At 56.0% G+C, this 15,615-nt stretch overlaps 1 protein-coding gene across 15 annotated transcripts in view, besides 2 other annotated features; it reads left to right on the top strand.

The window, feature by feature from the left end:
* Positions 1 to 15,540, top strand: part of HDAC5 (histone deacetylase 5) — a 46,889-nt gene extending 31,349 nt beyond the window's left edge. For 14 of the 15 annotated variants that reach the window (XM_047435054.1, XM_047435052.1, XM_047435050.1 and 11 more), the window contains 19 exons: positions 9 to 121; positions 462 to 593; positions 801 to 1,023; positions 3,695 to 3,906; positions 4,597 to 4,881; positions 5,556 to 5,721; positions 7,138 to 7,271; positions 7,618 to 7,738; positions 8,439 to 8,488; positions 8,641 to 8,748; positions 9,473 to 9,528; positions 9,621 to 9,708; positions 11,411 to 11,530; positions 11,795 to 11,892; positions 12,068 to 12,186; positions 13,016 to 13,149; positions 13,414 to 13,498; positions 13,628 to 13,793; positions 13,878 to 15,540. In XM_047435054.1, the coding sequence (XP_047291010.1) occupies positions 9 to 121; positions 462 to 593; positions 801 to 1,023; positions 3,695 to 3,906; positions 4,597 to 4,881; positions 5,556 to 5,721; positions 7,138 to 7,271; positions 7,618 to 7,738; positions 8,439 to 8,488; positions 8,641 to 8,748; positions 9,473 to 9,528; positions 9,621 to 9,708; positions 11,411 to 11,530; positions 11,795 to 11,892; positions 12,068 to 12,186; positions 13,016 to 13,149; positions 13,414 to 13,498; positions 13,628 to 13,793; positions 13,878 to 13,917 (2,450 nt within the window). In that variant the 3' untranslated portion in view covers positions 13,918 to 15,540. Of the gene's footprint in view, positions 1 to 8; positions 122 to 461; positions 594 to 800; positions 1,024 to 3,694; positions 3,907 to 4,596; positions 4,882 to 5,555; positions 5,722 to 7,137; positions 7,272 to 7,617; positions 7,739 to 8,438; positions 8,489 to 8,640; positions 8,749 to 9,472; positions 9,529 to 9,620; positions 9,709 to 11,410; positions 11,531 to 11,794; positions 11,893 to 12,067; positions 12,187 to 13,015; positions 13,150 to 13,413; positions 13,499 to 13,627; positions 13,794 to 13,877 lie in introns of those variants that run through there. The other variant, XM_047435057.1, reaches the window with a different exon arrangement.
* Positions 8,966 to 10,165: an enhancer, noted in NCBI's record as "BRD4-independent group 4 enhancer chr17:42159496-42160695 (GRCh37/hg19 assembly coordinates)". NCBI's record gives its function as "activates an origin of replication core promoter dependent on BRD2, P300/CBP, MED14 and CDK7 cofactors, and independent of BRD4, by STARR-seq in HCT116 cells {active_cell/tissue: HCT116}" and the evidence as "EXISTENCE:reporter gene assay evidence [ECO:0000049][PMID:35650434]".
* Positions 14,728 to 15,267: an enhancer, noted in NCBI's record as "H3K4me1 hESC enhancer chr17:42154394-42154933 (GRCh37/hg19 assembly coordinates)". NCBI's record gives its function as "activates a minimal SCP1, AML or CMV promoter by ChIP-STARR-seq in naive H9 embryonic stem cells {active_cell/tissue: H9 hESC(naive)}" and the evidence as "EXISTENCE:reporter gene assay evidence [ECO:0000049][PMID:30033119]".

Here is a 15,615-nt window from a genome sequence, read left to right as displayed (position 1 = left end):
TCCTATAGCGTCGTCCGTGTGTAACAGCGCACCCGGCTCCGGCCCCAGCTCTCCCAACAGCTCCCACAGCACCATCGCTGAGAATGGCTTTACTGGCTCAGTCCCCAACATCCCCACTGAGGTACAGGCCTGGCTGGGGGCTGGTGGGGCGGGGACAGAGTTGCTCCTTCCCATGGAAGAAAGAGTGCAGCTCCTTCCAGTCTGTCTGCCTGAGTGCCCAGCAGAGACCTCTCTGCCCACATGAATAGGCTGGAGGATCCTTGCTTGGACTTAATTGCATTGAAGGGGAATTTGTCCCACAGGACTATGAAGAGCCCTGATGGCTCAGTCTCCCTCAGTGGGAGCTCAGGGTAGAGGGAACTGGGCACCATTCAGAGACCTTGGCCTTGGCCCCAGGTTGCCCTCCCTTGTTGCCTCCCCTTTGTGCACTCTCATGCCTGTCTCTTCTGACTGCTCCCCAGATGCTCCCTCAGCACCGAGCCCTCCCTCTGGACAGCTCCCCCAACCAGTTCAGCCTCTACACGTCTCCTTCTCTGCCCAACATCTCCCTAGGGCTGCAGGCCACGGTCACTGTCACCAACTCACACCTCACTGTAAGTACAGGGCATATACCCCATCTTCCCTCTGGTGTTGAGGTCACAGGTCCTGCATGCCCCCAGCTGGGGTTTTCCCCTTCCAAGGCCCTAAGGGAGATCTGTTGGCCCTACCCAGAGCTTGGGGGGTAGATAGTGGGTAGATGGGGATGCTAGTCCAAAGTTGGCAGGACTGAGGCTGTATAAGCCCCTCCCTTCACCCCCCAGGCCTCCCCGAAGCTGTCGACACAGCAGGAGGCCGAGAGGCAGGCCCTCCAGTCCCTGCGGCAGGGTGGCACGCTGACCGGCAAGTTCATGAGCACATCCTCTATTCCTGGCTGCCTGCTGGGCGTGGCACTGGAGGGCGACGGGAGCCCCCACGGGCATGCCTCCCTGCTGCAGCATGTGCTGTTGCTGGAGCAGGCCCGGCAGCAGAGCACCCTCATTGCTGGTGAGTGGACAGGTAGCTGTGCAAGGGAGGGGGCTAAGGTCAGGACCAACTGTCAGGGATACTCTCCAACCCTGTCACAGTTCCCCTTAGCAGAATCAACAGCATCAGTGATTTCTTCCACATTCTGGAAACATGGGATACCTACAGGATGCCAGGCACTGTTCTTGACAAAATCTGCTGCCATCTTGGCGTTCACATCCCAGAGCAGTGTTGTTCAGTAGAAACATAACACAATCTACATACGTAATTTCTAGCATCCACATTAAAAAATGTAAAAAGAAGGCCGGGCGCGGTGGATCACGCCTGAAATCCCAGCACTTTGGGAGGCTGAGGCGGGTGGATCACGAGGTCAGGAGATTGAGACCATTCTGGCTAACATGGTGAAACCCCGTCTCTACTAAAAATACAAAAAATTAGCCGGGCGTGGTGGTGGGCACCTGTAGTCCCAGCTACTCAGGAGGCTGAGGCAGGAGAACAGTGTGAACCTGGGAGGCGGAGCTTGCAGTGAGCCGAGATCGTGCCACTGCACTCCAGCCTGGGGCACAGAGCGTGAGACTCCGTCTCAAAAAAATAAAAAAATTAAAAGAAGCAAGTGGAGCCACACATGGTGGCTCAAGCCTGTGAGCCCGGCACTTTGGAGGCCAAGGCAGGTGGATCACTTGAGGTCAGGAGCTTGAGACCAGCCTGGCCAACATGGTGAAATCCCATCTCTACTAAAAATACAAAAATTAGCTGGGCGTGGTGGCGGGCACCTGTAATCCCAGCTACTCGGGAGGCTGAGGCAGGAAAATTGCTTGAACCCAGGAGGCGGAGGTTGCAGTGAGCCGAGATCGCTCCATTGCACCCAAGCCTGGGCAACAGAGCGACACTCTGTCTCAAAAAAAAGAGAAGCAAGTGGAATTAATTTCACCACATATATTTAACTCATTATATCCAGAATATTACAATTTCGGTAATACATATGCAGTTATTCTTTCTATTTTTTAATTTTTGTAGAGACAGGATCTTGCTATGTTACCCAGGCTGGTCTTTTTTTCGAGACTGAGTCTCGCTCTGTTGCCCAAGCTAGAGTGCAGTGGCGTGATCTTGGCTCACTGCAACCTCTGCCTCCCGGGTTCAAGCAATTCTCCTGCCTCAGCCTCCCAAGTAGTTGGGATTATAGGCGCCTGCCACCGCGCCTGGCTAATTTTTGTATTTTTAATAGAGCTGGGGTTTCACCATCTTGGCCAGGCTGGTCTTGAACTCCTGACCTCAGGTGATCCGTTCGCCTCGGCCTCCCAAAGTGCTGGGATTACAGGTGTGAGCCGCCATGCTCATCCTTTTTTTTTTTTTTTTTTTGAGACAGAATCTCACTTTGTTGCCCAGGCTGGAGTGCAGTAAGCAGGATCTCTGCTCACTGCACCCTCCACCTCCTGGGTTCAAGCTTCAAGCGGTTCTTTTGCTTCAGCCTCCTGAGTAGTTAAGACTACAGGCGTGTGCCACCACACCCAGCTAATTTTTTTTTTTTTTTTTTTTTTTTTTTGAGACGAAGTTTCACTCTTGTTGCCCAGGCTGGAGTGCAGTGGCAAGATCTCGGCTCACTGCAACCTCTGCCTCTCGAGTTCAAGTGATTCTCCTGCCTAAGCCTCCCAAGTAGCTGGGATTACAGGCATGTGCCACCATGCCTGGCTTAATTTTTTGTATTTTTATTAGAGAAGAAGTTTCACCACGTTGGCCAGGCTGGTCTTGAACTCCTGACCTCAGATGGTCCACCCGCCTTGGCCTCCCAAAGTGTTGGAATTACAGGCGTGAGCCACTGCGCCTGGCCTAATTTTTGTATTTTTAGTAGAGACGGGGTTTCACCATGTTGGCCAAGTTGGTCTTGAACTCCTGACCTCAAGTGATCCACCTGCCTTGGCCTCCCAAAGCGCTGGGATTACGGGTGTGAGCCACCGCACCCAGCTGCCCAGGTTGGTCTTGAACTCCTGGGCTCAAGCCATCCCCCTGCCTTGGACTCCCAAAGTGCTGGGATTACAGGTGTGAGCCACTGTGCCTGGCCAATATGCAGTTACCAATGAGATATTTTGGTTTTTGTTTCATACTCTTTGAAATCTAGTGTATACTTCACACTTATATCACATTTCAGTTTAGACAGGTTGTGTGCAAGGGCTCAGCAGTCACATGTAACTAGTAGCTATGGGACTAGACAGCACAACTTTAGACAGCCCTTAAGTACCAGGGCTGTCTAAAGAGCCCTGGCACCAGAAGAGGTTCTGCTTGAAAGATACATGATCCTGGCCCTAGGGCTTCCTAGCCTGGCGGGATCCACGGGGAGGATCCATGATCAGGGAGGCCTTGTTGCACTTAGGGAGAAAAGTCATTGTTCGTTCAGAGGGCTCAAGACTAAATGTATACTCAGTTTATTCAGTTAAGGAAATCGAAGGGAAAAGATGGTGAATCCAGGAAGGCTTGCTGGAGGTGGTACCTTAGAGCTGTGAAACTCTTCATTCATGGGGAAGAGGAAGAATGGAGCTCAGGTTTGGGTGGGGGGTGCTTCAGGTCCCCCAGGGTTTTTCCTGAGTATATAGGTGGTGATATGCCAGAGGGGGTTGTGGGGGCAAGATGCAGGGTCGGTGGGAGGGCAGTCAGGTGCCCTGACAATGGTGCTTAGTCATCACCCCCAACTCCGTAGTGCCACTCCACGGGCAGTCCCCACTAGTGACGGGTGAACGTGTGGCCACCAGCATGCGGACGGTAGGCAAGCTCCCGCGGCATCGGCCCCTGAGCCGCACTCAGTCCTCACCGCTGCCGCAGAGTCCCCAGGCCCTGCAGCAGCTGGTCATGCAACAACAGCACCAGCAGTTCCTGGAGAAGCAGAAGCAGCAGCAGCTACAGCTGGGCAAGGTGAGCCTGGAAAGGTGAATGGCCTGGGGCTGTGGTGGGGGCAGGACACAGGAGAGTACCAGGCTGGCAGAAAAGTCCTCCTTTCAGGCCAGACACGGTGGCTCGCGCCTGATTGGGAGGCCGAGGTGGGCAGATCGCCTGAGGTCAGGAGTTCGAGACCAGCCTGGCCAACATGGTGAAACCCCCGTCTCTACTAAAAATACAAAAATTAGCCAGGCGTGGTGGTAGGCACCTATAATAATCCCAGCTACTCGGGAGGCTGAGGCAGGAGAATTGCTTGAACCTGGGAGATGGAGGTTGCACTGAGCCCAGATCGCACCATTGCACTGCAGCCTGGGTGAGAAGAGCGAGACCGTCTCAAAAAAACAAACAAAAATTAGCTGGGCGTGGTGGCGTGCGCCTGTAACCCCAGTCACTGGGGAGGCTGAGGCAGGAGAATCGCTTGAATTTGGAAGGCGGAGGTTGCAGTGAGCCGAGATCGTGCCACTGCATGCCAGGCTGGGCGACAGAGGGAGACTCTGTCTCAAAAAAAAAAAAAGTCCTCTCAGAGGAGCTACCTCACCTTTTTCTAATTCACATAGAAGCTCTACCTGGAAGAAGGGAGGGAGGGAAGGATAGACTGTTCTGGGTTTTAGGCTGCACAGCTGCTCCCCAACTCCCAGCTGATGTGCCCCCATATTCTGTTATCAGATCCTCACCAAGACAGGGGAGCTGCCCAGGCAGCCCACCACCCACCCTGAGGAGACAGAGGAGGAGCTGACGGAGCAGCAGGAGGTCTTGCTGGGGGAGGGAGCCCTGACCATGCCCCGGGAGGGCTCCACAGAGAGTGAGAGCACACAGGAAGACCTGGAGGAGGAGGACGAGGAAGACGATGGGGAGGAGGAGGAGGATTGCATCCAGGTTAAGGACGAGGAGGGCGAGAGTGGTGCTGAGGAGGGGCCCGACTTGGAGGAGCCTGGTGCTGGATACAAAAAAGTGAGCCCCGTCCCTGGTCCCAGTCCTTGGTCACCACCCCTCTGTCCTTCTCCACCCCTGCCTCTGCCCTTGTCTTTCCCTCTCCCCCATCTGCAGTTTCCAGGCTGTGCAGGAGCAGCTTTCTGTAGAGAGCAAAAGGGGAGTGGGAAGGAGGCCGGTGGGGAGAAGGGGGAGCTGTTTGTGTTGATCTCAGAGTTGTGTCTGTCCTAGGCTGCCAGTTCCCTCCCTGTGTCTGTGATACTGGCCTGCCTCTCTGCTTGTGTGTCTGTGTATGCATGCGTCGGTCCCTGTGCGTGCCTGTGCGTGTGTGTACACACACGCCCCCGCTGTTACTACTGTCTGCCTCGCGCCTAGCTGGCACTCCATTCATTGCGGACACAGCCGAGCCCTCCGGGCCTGACTCATCCCGCCCCCACCCCGCCCCCGCCCCCACCCCTCCCAGCCTCTTACCTCAATGCTACTCTTTGATGTGACTCATCACATCTCCCCCATCCCTCCCCATCTCAGAGGAGATGTGTCTCCTGTCCCTGGAGGGAGCAAGTGGGAGGAGGTGGGGGAAGGAGACTTGGAAGAAAAGGGCTGGATTGGGGCCCCACTGGAGGCCCTGACAGGGCCTGCCCTCACCCCTGTCCTGGCTGAGTCTGACCCAGGCCCCCTCCCATTCTCCCCTCCAGCTGTTCTCAGATGCCCAGCCGCTGCAGCCTTTGCAGGTGTACCAGGCGCCCCTCAGCCTGGCCACTGTGCCCCACCAGGCCCTGGGCCGTACCCAGTCCTCCCCTGCTGCCCCTGGGGGCATGAAGAGCCCCCCAGACCAGCCCGTCAAGCACCTCTTCACCACAGGTGAGCCCCCACCAACTGTTAGGTCCTTCTGCCAGGCACCAGAGGGCCTGTGTGTGGTGTCTGCCCCATGGCAGGGGGAAGAGGCTGCTGGGGCCCCTTAGGCACCCTGAAAGGAGGGGACACAGGCCTTCGTTCTCTCCCTGTACCCCAGAGCTGTTCATGGTAGCGGCAGGGCCTTCTGCCTCAGCCGGGAGAGTGGGTAGCGTCTTTCTCACCCCGCTGAAGGAAGGACTGCCCCACAGCCTGAAGTGCTGGGTAGAGAGAGCCTGCTGTCCCTGTTGGGCCCTGACCTTCTACCTTCCCTTCCTTCTCCCTGTGAGGTCTGGGATGAGACCAGAGTCCTCTTCCCTATGAAGCTGCCACAGGCTGGGCTCTGGGGGGACACAGACGTGCCTGAGGGTGGCCCTGTATCACCCGTGGAGAGTAAGACACGGGTTTGGCAGGAGGGGGAAAGCAGGAGGTGCCGTGAGAAGGGTGCAGCTGAGGAGGCACAGCTGGCAGAGATGAGACTCATGCGAGTGTCCAGGGCAGCCTTGCTGGGGCTTGAGGAGCAGGGAAGCTTCTGATAGGCAATAATGGAGCAAAGGAATTTCAGGAGGAGTCAAGAGGGGGCAAAGGCTGGAGAGGAAAGGCCAGGTGCAGTGGCTCACACCTGTAATCCCAGCATTTTGGGAGGCCAAGGTGGGAGGATCACTTGAGCCCAGGAGTTTGAGACCAACGTGAGCAACATAGTGAGACCCCGTCTCTTTAAAATAAAAAATAAAAAAATAGGTTGGGTGCAGTGGCTCACGCCTGTAATCCCAGCACTTTAGGAGGCTGAGGTGGGTGGATTACCTGAGGTCAGGAGTTCGAGACCAGCCTGGCCAACATGGTAAAACCCCGTCTCTACTAAAAATACAAAAATTAGCCAGGCGTGGTGGCACATGCCTGTAATCCCAGCTACTCGGGAGGCTGAGGCAGGAGAATTGCTTGAGCCCAGGAGGCAGAGGTTGCAGTGAGCCGAGATCGTGCCACTGGACCTGGCCGACAGAGCGAGACTCTGTCTCAAAAAAAAACAAAAGAAAAGCTAGGTGTGGTAGTGCCTATAGTCCCAGCTACTCAGAACGCTGAGGTGGGAGGATCGCTTGAGCCCAGGGTGGTGGGGGCAGTGGTTGAGGCTGCAGTGAGCCATGATAGCACCACTACACACTCCACTCCAGCCTGGGTGACAGAGTGAGACCCTGTTTCAAAGAAAAAAAAAAAAAAGCTGGAGAGGAGAGGGGGCAGGTTTGTGGCAGGGTGGCTGCAGTGGCCATGGGGAGGTGTTTGGACCTGGGGGTTGGAGACAGCTCCATGAGCCCTGCTGAGGATCATGGTAGCCAGGCTGGGATCCTGGGCCCAGAGCAGTGCTGGCTGACACATAGGTCTGTGGCCCAGGTGTGGTCTACGACACGTTCATGCTAAAGCACCAGTGCATGTGCGGGAACACACACGTGCACCCTGAGCATGCTGGCCGGATCCAGAGCATCTGGTCCCGGCTGCAGGAGACAGGCCTGCTTAGCAAGTGCGAGGTAAGGGAGCCCCTCCTTCTTCTGGCTCTCAACTTAAATCCAGCCTTTGTTTCCCTGTTAGATAAGCCTCTCTTCATGCTTCTTCCTCATCCTCTCTTCAGCCCCAGACTTCGGGGCCAGTTCTCCCACCACCCCGTTCCATCCCTTGCAGCCTGTTTTCCCCCATGGTCCCCAGCTGAGTGGGGGGGATCCGGGAGTAAGGTCATGACAGAGCCAGGATCTACTTTCTGAAAATATTTGGATCTCCTGAGGCCAGGAAGTGGCTCTGTGTGCCCTGGCTATGGGGCAGAGAGGCTCTGAGAGAGCTGTGCCTTTGTGTGACCCCTCTTACTGATCCTCCTGGCAGCGGATCCGAGGTCGCAAAGCCACGCTAGATGAGATCCAGACAGTGCACTCTGAATACCACACCCTGCTCTATGGGACCAGTCCCCTCAACCGGCAGAAGCTAGACAGCAAGAAGTTGCTCGGTGAGCTGGCACATGGGTGGGCGGGCAGGCATGTTCAGTGTCAGGGTGGGATGGGGGCTCTCAGGAAGACTGCCTGACCAGGCTAGGAGGGTTGTCCCCACGGGCATAGGGCATTGCTGCGGCAGAGGTGGCACAATTATCACGTCACACACCTCCAGAGGGCGCCACTAAAATAGAGCATGCTGTGGGGCGCGGTGCAGGAGGATGGAAGTGCTCGGTTGGGGGGACTGCTTTGTTCCCCTCCTCCACGGCTTATCATGCTCCTCTCTCCCTGCCACCTGCCCCCAGAGGTAAGACGTCCCCAAGGACAGAGGACTGACAGCTTCCAACTGGTGTGGGCTGCAGAGGCCTGTCTTGTACTTGGGTCTGAGCCCTCATTTTTGGTGGCTAAGCCTGTAGCCCTGTGGCAGTTGAGGTGCCTTTTTTTTTTTTGAGACAGTCTTGCTCTGTTGGCCAGGCTGGAGTACAGTGGTGCGATCTCAGCTCACTGCGACCTCTGTCTCCCCAGGCTCAAGCAACTCTCTTGCCTGAGCCTATTGAGTAGCTGGGTTTACAGGTGTGTGCCACCACGCCCAGCTAAGTTTTGTATTTTTAGTAGAGATGGGGTTTCATCATGTTGTCCAGGCTGGTCTCGAACTCCTGACCTCAGGTGATCCGCCCGAGGCCACTTCTAGAGTAGCTCTATTCCTCTTCCATGCAGGCCCCATCAGCCAGAAGATGTATGCTGTGCTGCCTTGTGGGGGCATCGGGGTGAGTAGGGCGTACAGCAGTGGGGGTGGGCGGGCGGCTCTCCTAGGTCTGTCTCTTCCCTGCCTACCACAGCCGCTGGCCCACTGTCCAGGTGCCCTCCCCTGTTCTTGCCCTGCAGGGGGCACACTGAAACCTGCTCTCCTGCCCTGCAGGTGGACAGTGACACCGTGTGGAATGAGATGCACTCCTCCAGTGCTGTGCGCATGGCAGTGGGCTGCCTGCTGGAGCTGGCCTTCAAGGTGGCTGCAGGAGAGCTCAAGGTGAGCGTGTGCTTGTGACCTCGGTGCCCCTTGGCATGGCCCTGCTCCTCAGAGGCAGAGGACAGGGGCAGCCTTGGGATCCTTTCAGTGAGGCACTGTCCTTTGCAAGCTCAACTCTCAGGCACCAGGGTGGGAAGGAGTTGCCAGCTGGGAATTCAGGTTATGAGGGACCAACAAAAAGACACTAATGCCCAGTGCTCTCGTGGGTGTCTCGAGGCAGAAATAGTGTCTGCCTGCTCAAGCCTCATGGTTGGCATTCAAAATGGTCCGTTGAGGCTGGGCACAGTGGCTCATACCTGTAATCTCAACACTTTGGGAGGCCGAGGTGGGCAGATAGCTTGAGCCCAGGAGTTCGAGACCAGCCTGGGCAACATAGTAAAACGCTGTCTCTACAAAAAATTAACCAGGTGTGGTGGCGTGTGCTTGTAGTCCTAGCTATTCAGGAGACTGAGGTGGAAGGATTGTCTGAGCCTGGGAGGCCAAGGTTGTAGTGAGCCATGATCGCGCCACTGCACTCCAGCCTGGGTGACAAAGCAAGACTCTGTCTCCAAAAAAACCCATAAAAAAACAAAGAAACCCCAACAAAATTGTGCATTAAACATATGGATCTGCTTTTCTGGTTTGTGTTCACTTCCCTGCCTGGCTTGTGCTTCTGTCCTGTGCTACCCCCTCCACGGCCTTCCTGCCTGGATCTTGCCCCTCACCTCTGCCTGCACCTCTTCAGAATGGATTTGCCATCATCCGGCCCCCAGGACACCACGCCGAGGAATCCACAGCCATGTGAGTGCCCTAGATTCTCTGCCCTCGCCCCTTCCTGTCTCTTGCAAACGTCATGCTGAGGCTGACCTCCTGCCCTTTTCTCCCCTCCTCAGGGGATTCTGCTTCTTCAACTCTGTAGCCATCACCGCAAAACTCCTACAGCAGAAGTTGAACGTGGGCAAGGTCCTCATCGTGGACTGGGTAGGCAGTGAGCTGGTGGGGCTGGGCAGGGGCGGGTAGAGCTAGGACCAGGGTCAGCCTTCAGGAAGTCTCCTCCCCCAGCCCCACCTTCAAGCACCCCAGTCGTCCTCATCCTCGGGTGCTGGGTGTGGGTGCAGAAGGAAGGGCGCTGGGGCTCCTGCCGGATGACTAACGTCACATTCCAACAGGGCTCCCTCCTCAACTATGAAAGACATTTAGCTCCTGTTCCATCTTGGCCCTCACGTTGCAGTTTCAAGCAACGAAGGGGATTTCCTACCTTGAACGGTAGTGACGCTGCCGCCATTGCTAGTAGCCGATATTTCCTCCCACCCCCTACAATTAGGAGCAGACTGTATACCAGGAACACAATGAGTACTTTATGGCCACCTCGAGTAGTAAGAACGAGGATGTCCATTTCTGTGAACAAAGGTGTTGTTGCGTGACTTACCCAAGGCCACTCAGCTGGGGATGTCGGCACTGGGTTTCAGACCAAGGCTTTTGGCCCCAGCACTCTGCTCTTGCTACCATGGGTGCTTCCCAAACCCTGCTCCTAATGGTGGAGGCAGAGGCACACACCACTCTCTGTGAGCTGGGGAAGTAGCCAGGACCAAGCCTCAGGAAGGACAAAATCTCTTGGAAGCCCAATTCTGGCTTAAAAATTCATGTAAATGTTGGATCCTCCTTCAGAATCTTACGTGCTTGTGGTTGGGCACAATGGCTCAAAGCCTGTAATCCCAGCATTTTGGGAGGCCAAGGTGGGTGAATCACTTGGGGTCAGGAGTTCGAGACCAGGATGGCCAACATGGTGAAACCCTGTCTCCACTGAAAATTCAAAAAAATTAGTTAGGTGTGGTGGCGGGAGCCTGTAATCCCACCTATTGGGGAGGCTGAGGCAGGAGAATTCCTTGAACCTGGGAAGTGGAGGTTGCAGTGAGTCAAGATCATGCCACTGCACTCCAGCCTCGATGACAGAGTGAGATTCTGTCTCAAAAAAAAAAAAAAAAGAAAGAAAAGAAAAAGGAAAACAAAAAAGGCCGGGTACAGTGACTCATGCCTGTAATCCCAGCACTTTGAGAGGCCGAGGTGGGTGGATCACCTGAGGTCAGGAGTTTGAGACCAGCCTGGCCAACATGGTGAAACCCCATCTCTACTAAAAATACAAAAAAAATTGGCCGGGCATAGTGGTGGGCGCCTGTAATCCCAGCTACTCGGGAGGCTGAGGCAGGAGAATCGCTTGAACCCGGGAGGTGGAGGTTGCAGTGAGCCCAGATCGTGCCACTGCACTCTAGCCTGGGCAACAAGAGTGAAACTTGGTCTCAAAAAAAAAAAAGAAAGAATCTCATCTGCCTGTTTTAAATTCCCTACTAGCCTTAATGTTTTCCCCAAAACTGTGAGGTGGAATGGGTTCTGTAGGGAGATATGCCACATTTATCCCATGGTTTTGAATATCACCTACACAGTGCCACCCCACAGAGGCTCAGACCTAGTTAGAGAAGTGTGGGGTGTGCAATACCATTGTGAACAGAATATGGATGCCCTGTGGCCAAGGGTGGAGTCCTGGGCTCAAGCGATCCTCCCAGCCCTCAGCCTCCCAAAATGCTAGGATTACAGGCATGAGCTACAGTGCTCAGCTGACAGGTGGAATTTGACCATTGGGTCAGAGCGCGGGCCATTTTCCCGATGCTTCTACCTCCCCTCATAGGACATTCACCATGGCAATGGCACCCAGCAGGCGTTCTACAATGACCCCTCTGTGCTCTACATCTCTCTGCATCGCTATGACAACGGGAACTTCTTTCCAGGCTCTGGGGCTCCTGAAGAGGTACAGCTCCTGGGCGTAAATGCAGACCCTCCTGGCCCCTCTGGGAGGTGGCACAATGGGACCTGGCGGGGAGCCACGGAGGCCCATGGTGGTGTTGGTACCTGGGGAGTCTGGGCTCCTAGTGGGAGGACCACACTGATCTGACTGCCCCTCCAGGCAGAGCAGAGGTCAGTGGAGTGAGATCTGGAGGCAGGGGTGAGGGCAGGGGCAATGTTTGGGACTCCCAGGTGGTGAGAATAGCCCTCTCCCCAACTCTGGTGCCAGGTTGGTGGAGGACCAGGCGTGGGGTACAATGTGAACGTGGCATGGACAGGAGGTGTGGACCCCCCCATTGGAGACGTGGAGTACCTTACAGCCTTCAGGTAGGGACTGAAAAGGGCCATGGTAGTCAGTGGGAGCCCCTCTGGGCCCTGCAGTGGGAGGGGCAGAAGGCACTCAGTTCAGTGTGGGTAGAGGGGGTTGTCTCTGGGAGGATAACAGTGGGGCGAGGCCTGGCCTGGTCATCTGCCGGGCTCAGCTTGAGCCATCCCTTTGCAGGACAGTGGTGATGCCCATTGCCCACGAGTTCTCACCTGATGTGGTCCTAGTCTCCGCCGGGTTTGATGCTGTTGAAGGACATCTGTCTCCTCTGGGTGGCTACTCTGTCACCGCCAGATGTAAGCCTGCTGGGGGATTGAGGGAGGAAGTGAAACAGTGAGGATATCGAGTCCAGTGAGGCATGGGGCAGGGAACAGACTGATATTGCAGCAGACGGGGAAAGCAGGGGGCAGGGCCTAGACTTGGAATCATCTTGGTAACTCCCCCAACTTGTCCTCTGCCAACCCCGGCCTTGAGGGGATAGGAGGTGGCAGTGGGGTAGCAGAGGATAGAGGATGTATCCTGCCGGAGCTGTAGAGATGGGCTTGTTGGTCCCTGGTGTTTCAGTGATGCTCCTTGTCATTGGATTGGAGTCTTCAGCCAGTCTGTTAATGTTTTGACTGTGATAGGGCATTTAGTTCACTGATGCTGTATTTTATTATGGATATATTTGGGTTTATATCTCCCATCACATTTTGTGCTATTTGTCCCACCTCTTGTGTTTCTTTTTCTCTCCTTTTCTTTCTTTTTTTTTTTTTTTTTTTTTGAGGTGGAGTCTCACTCTGTCACCCAGGCTGGAGTGCAATGGCGTGATCTCGGCTCACTGCAACCTCCGCCTCCTGGGTTCATGCCATCCTCCTGCCTCAGCCTCCCAAGTAGCTGGGATTACAGGCGCGTGCCACCATGGCCGGCTAATTATTGTATTTTTAGTAGAGACGGGGTTTCACCATGTTGGTCAGGCTGGTCTCGAACTCCTGACCTTGTGATCTGCCCGCCTTGGCCTCCCAAAGTGCTGGGATTACAGGCGTGAGCCACCGCGCCTGGCCTTTTTTCTCTCCTCTTACTGGCTCTTGAATTGATTGATTACCTTTCGCCATTTCTTCTTCCTCCCTTCACCCATCCTCAAAGGTTTTGGCCACTTGACCAGGCAGCTGATGACCCTGGCAGGGGGCCGGGTGGTGCTGGCCCTGGAGGGAGGCCATGACTTGACCGCCATCTGTGATGCCTCTGAGGCTTGTGTCTCGGCTCTGCTCAGTGTAGAGGTAAGGGGTGGGAAGGAGCTGGGAGGTGGCAGGCCAGAGGTCTGAGGGGCCAGCAAGGGGTCAGCCAGCACTGGGAGCCCCTTAGGAAGCTTTTCCTTGGTCCTAAGGAACAGCTAATGGCCAGGCTTTCTGAGTATGCGTTTGTCCAAAAAGGCCATGTTTGCCCCTGTTGTGAGGGATATCTGGGGCTGAGTGGGGCAGTTAGAGGGGTATGCATGGCAACCCTACTCCCCACCCTAAGCCTTCTCTTCTTTCCCCTGCCAGCTGCAGCCCTTGGATGAGGCAGTCTTGCAGCAAAAGCCCAACATCAACGCAGTGGCCACGCTAGAGAAAGTCATCGAGATCCAGAGTGCGTGAGGACACGTAGAGGGGCTCAGGCTGCCAAGGGGGCACGGAGCTTGTGGGAGCACCAGGACTGGGACTGTTCATGTGGGTGTCCTCTGCCCTCCCTGACCCCTTGCCTGTCTCTCGTCCACAGGCAAACACTGGAGCTGTGTGCAGAAGTTCGCCGCTGGTCTGGGCCGGTCCCTGCGAGAGGCCCAAGCAGGTGAGACCGAGGAGGCCGAGACTGTGAGCGCCATGGCCTTGCTGTCGGTGGGGGCCGAGCAGGCCCAGGCTGCGGCAGCCCGGGAACACAGCCCCAGGTAAGCAGCAACCCGCACCACCTCTCTGCCCTCACCCCTGCTGGTGCGCCCCACTCAATACCCTCCCCTGTGCTTGCCCCACAGGCCGGCAGAGGAGCCCATGGAGCAGGAGCCTGCCCTGTGACGCCCCGGCCCCCATCCCTCTGGGCTTCACCATTGTGATTTTGTTTATTTTTTCTATTAAAAACAAAAAGTCACACATTCAACAAGGTGTGCCGTGTGGGTCTCTCAGCCTTGCCCCTCCTGCTCCTCTACGCTGCCTCAGGCCCCCAGCCCTGTGGCTTCCACCTCAGCTCTAGAAGCCTGCTCCCTCTGCAGGGGGTGGTGGTGTCTTCCCAGCCCTGTCCCATGTGTCCCTCCCCCCATTTTCCTGCATTCTGTCTGTCCTTTTCCTCCTTGGAGCCTGGGCCAGCTCAAGGTGGGCACGGGGGCCCAGACAGTACTCTCCAGTTCTGGGGCCCCCCGAGTGAGGAGGGAACGGGAAGTCGGTGCCTTGGTTTCAGCTGATTTGGGGGGAAATGCCTTAATTTCACTCTCCTCCCTTCTCCAGCCTCAGGGGAGGATCTGGAGGATCCACTACTGTCTTTAAGATGCAGAGTGGAGGGGAGGTGGGCACCCACCCTGCGATTCTCCACCCTTTCCCCTTCTTTCGTCCTCACCATCTCTGCAGACCCCTCTCCTCCTCCTTCCTCTTGGTCTCAGCACTGATGGGAGGCTGGTGCCCAAGCTGTGGCCTGCAGTCTGTGAGGAGGGCTGTCTTGCCTCACACTCCTCACAGCCTACTTCCCCTTCCCCGGGGCTGAGAGGGTGAAAGTGTGTGGGGAAGGAGAGGACTGGTTTCCTGGGTTCTCAGGGGCCAGGAGGAGTAACAGAACCAGGTCTGCTCCCCACCTTACTCGGATGGCCTCCCTGCCCCTCTGCTGGCACAGCCTGGGCAAGGGGAGAAGGTGGTCCCTGCAGAGGGGCTCCAGGCTGGTGAGAGCCCCCCTGCTGTCAGGACCAGATTTTCCCAGCCATCCAGCATGCTGCGGGGAGAAGGGGCAGAGGCTCACCTCCCTCCTGGGGCCTTTTGTTTTGGATCCTGGGGATGGTGAGAATGGAGGTTCTAGAAGGGGTAAGGCCAGAACCCAGGGATCCAGGAGTCGGCTCTCAGCTGGAGCTTCCATACCTTCTGGGCTCCCTTTGCTGACCACCAGCCCAAGGGAGCTAAGACCAGGAGGGGGCTGGGCGCTGTCCCTTCTCTTTCCCAGGAGCCCTGCCAGGGGCTGTGGGCCTACAAGGCTTCCAGGGGATGCCATCCAGCCTGTAGGAAACCAAAGATGGGAAGTGGCTCCTAGGGGGCTGACTCTTCCTTCCTCCTCCTCCCCAGTACCACATATACTTTCTCTCCTTCTATCTCCAGGGCCCCACCAATCTGTTTACATATTTATTATCCTATGGGGGCCTGAGCAGGATTGAGGGAGCCAGGGGAGGGGCAGGAGTCCCAGCACCATCGGTTCATAGTGTGCTTGTGTGTTTGTTTTAGATCCTCCTGGGGGATGGGGATGGGGCCAGGCTCAGTGTACTAGGCCTCTCTGTGCTGAGCCCCAGGCTCCCGGCCCCTTACCCACTCTCTCCCTGTGGCTGGTCTGGTTCTCATGTAAACCCACTCCTTGCTTTGTCTCCCTGGATATGGATTTCAGTTAAGTATTTTGTAACCCGTTACACTGTGTGTCCTTGTGTAAATAAACTTGTTTCTGGCAGTGCCTTCTGGGGCCAATGTCTCTATTCTCTGGGCTCCCAAATGGAGTAGAGGTTCTCATCCTCCTTCCTAGCCAAACAC

Source organism: Homo sapiens, chromosome 17 (genome assembly GCF_000001405.40).
Source record: "Homo sapiens chromosome 17, GRCh38.p14 Primary Assembly".
NCBI lineage: Eukaryota > Metazoa > Chordata > Mammalia > Primates > Hominidae > Homo > Homo sapiens.
Note: the sequence above shows the minus strand (reverse complement) of the source record. Positions and strands in the feature narration are given on the sequence as shown.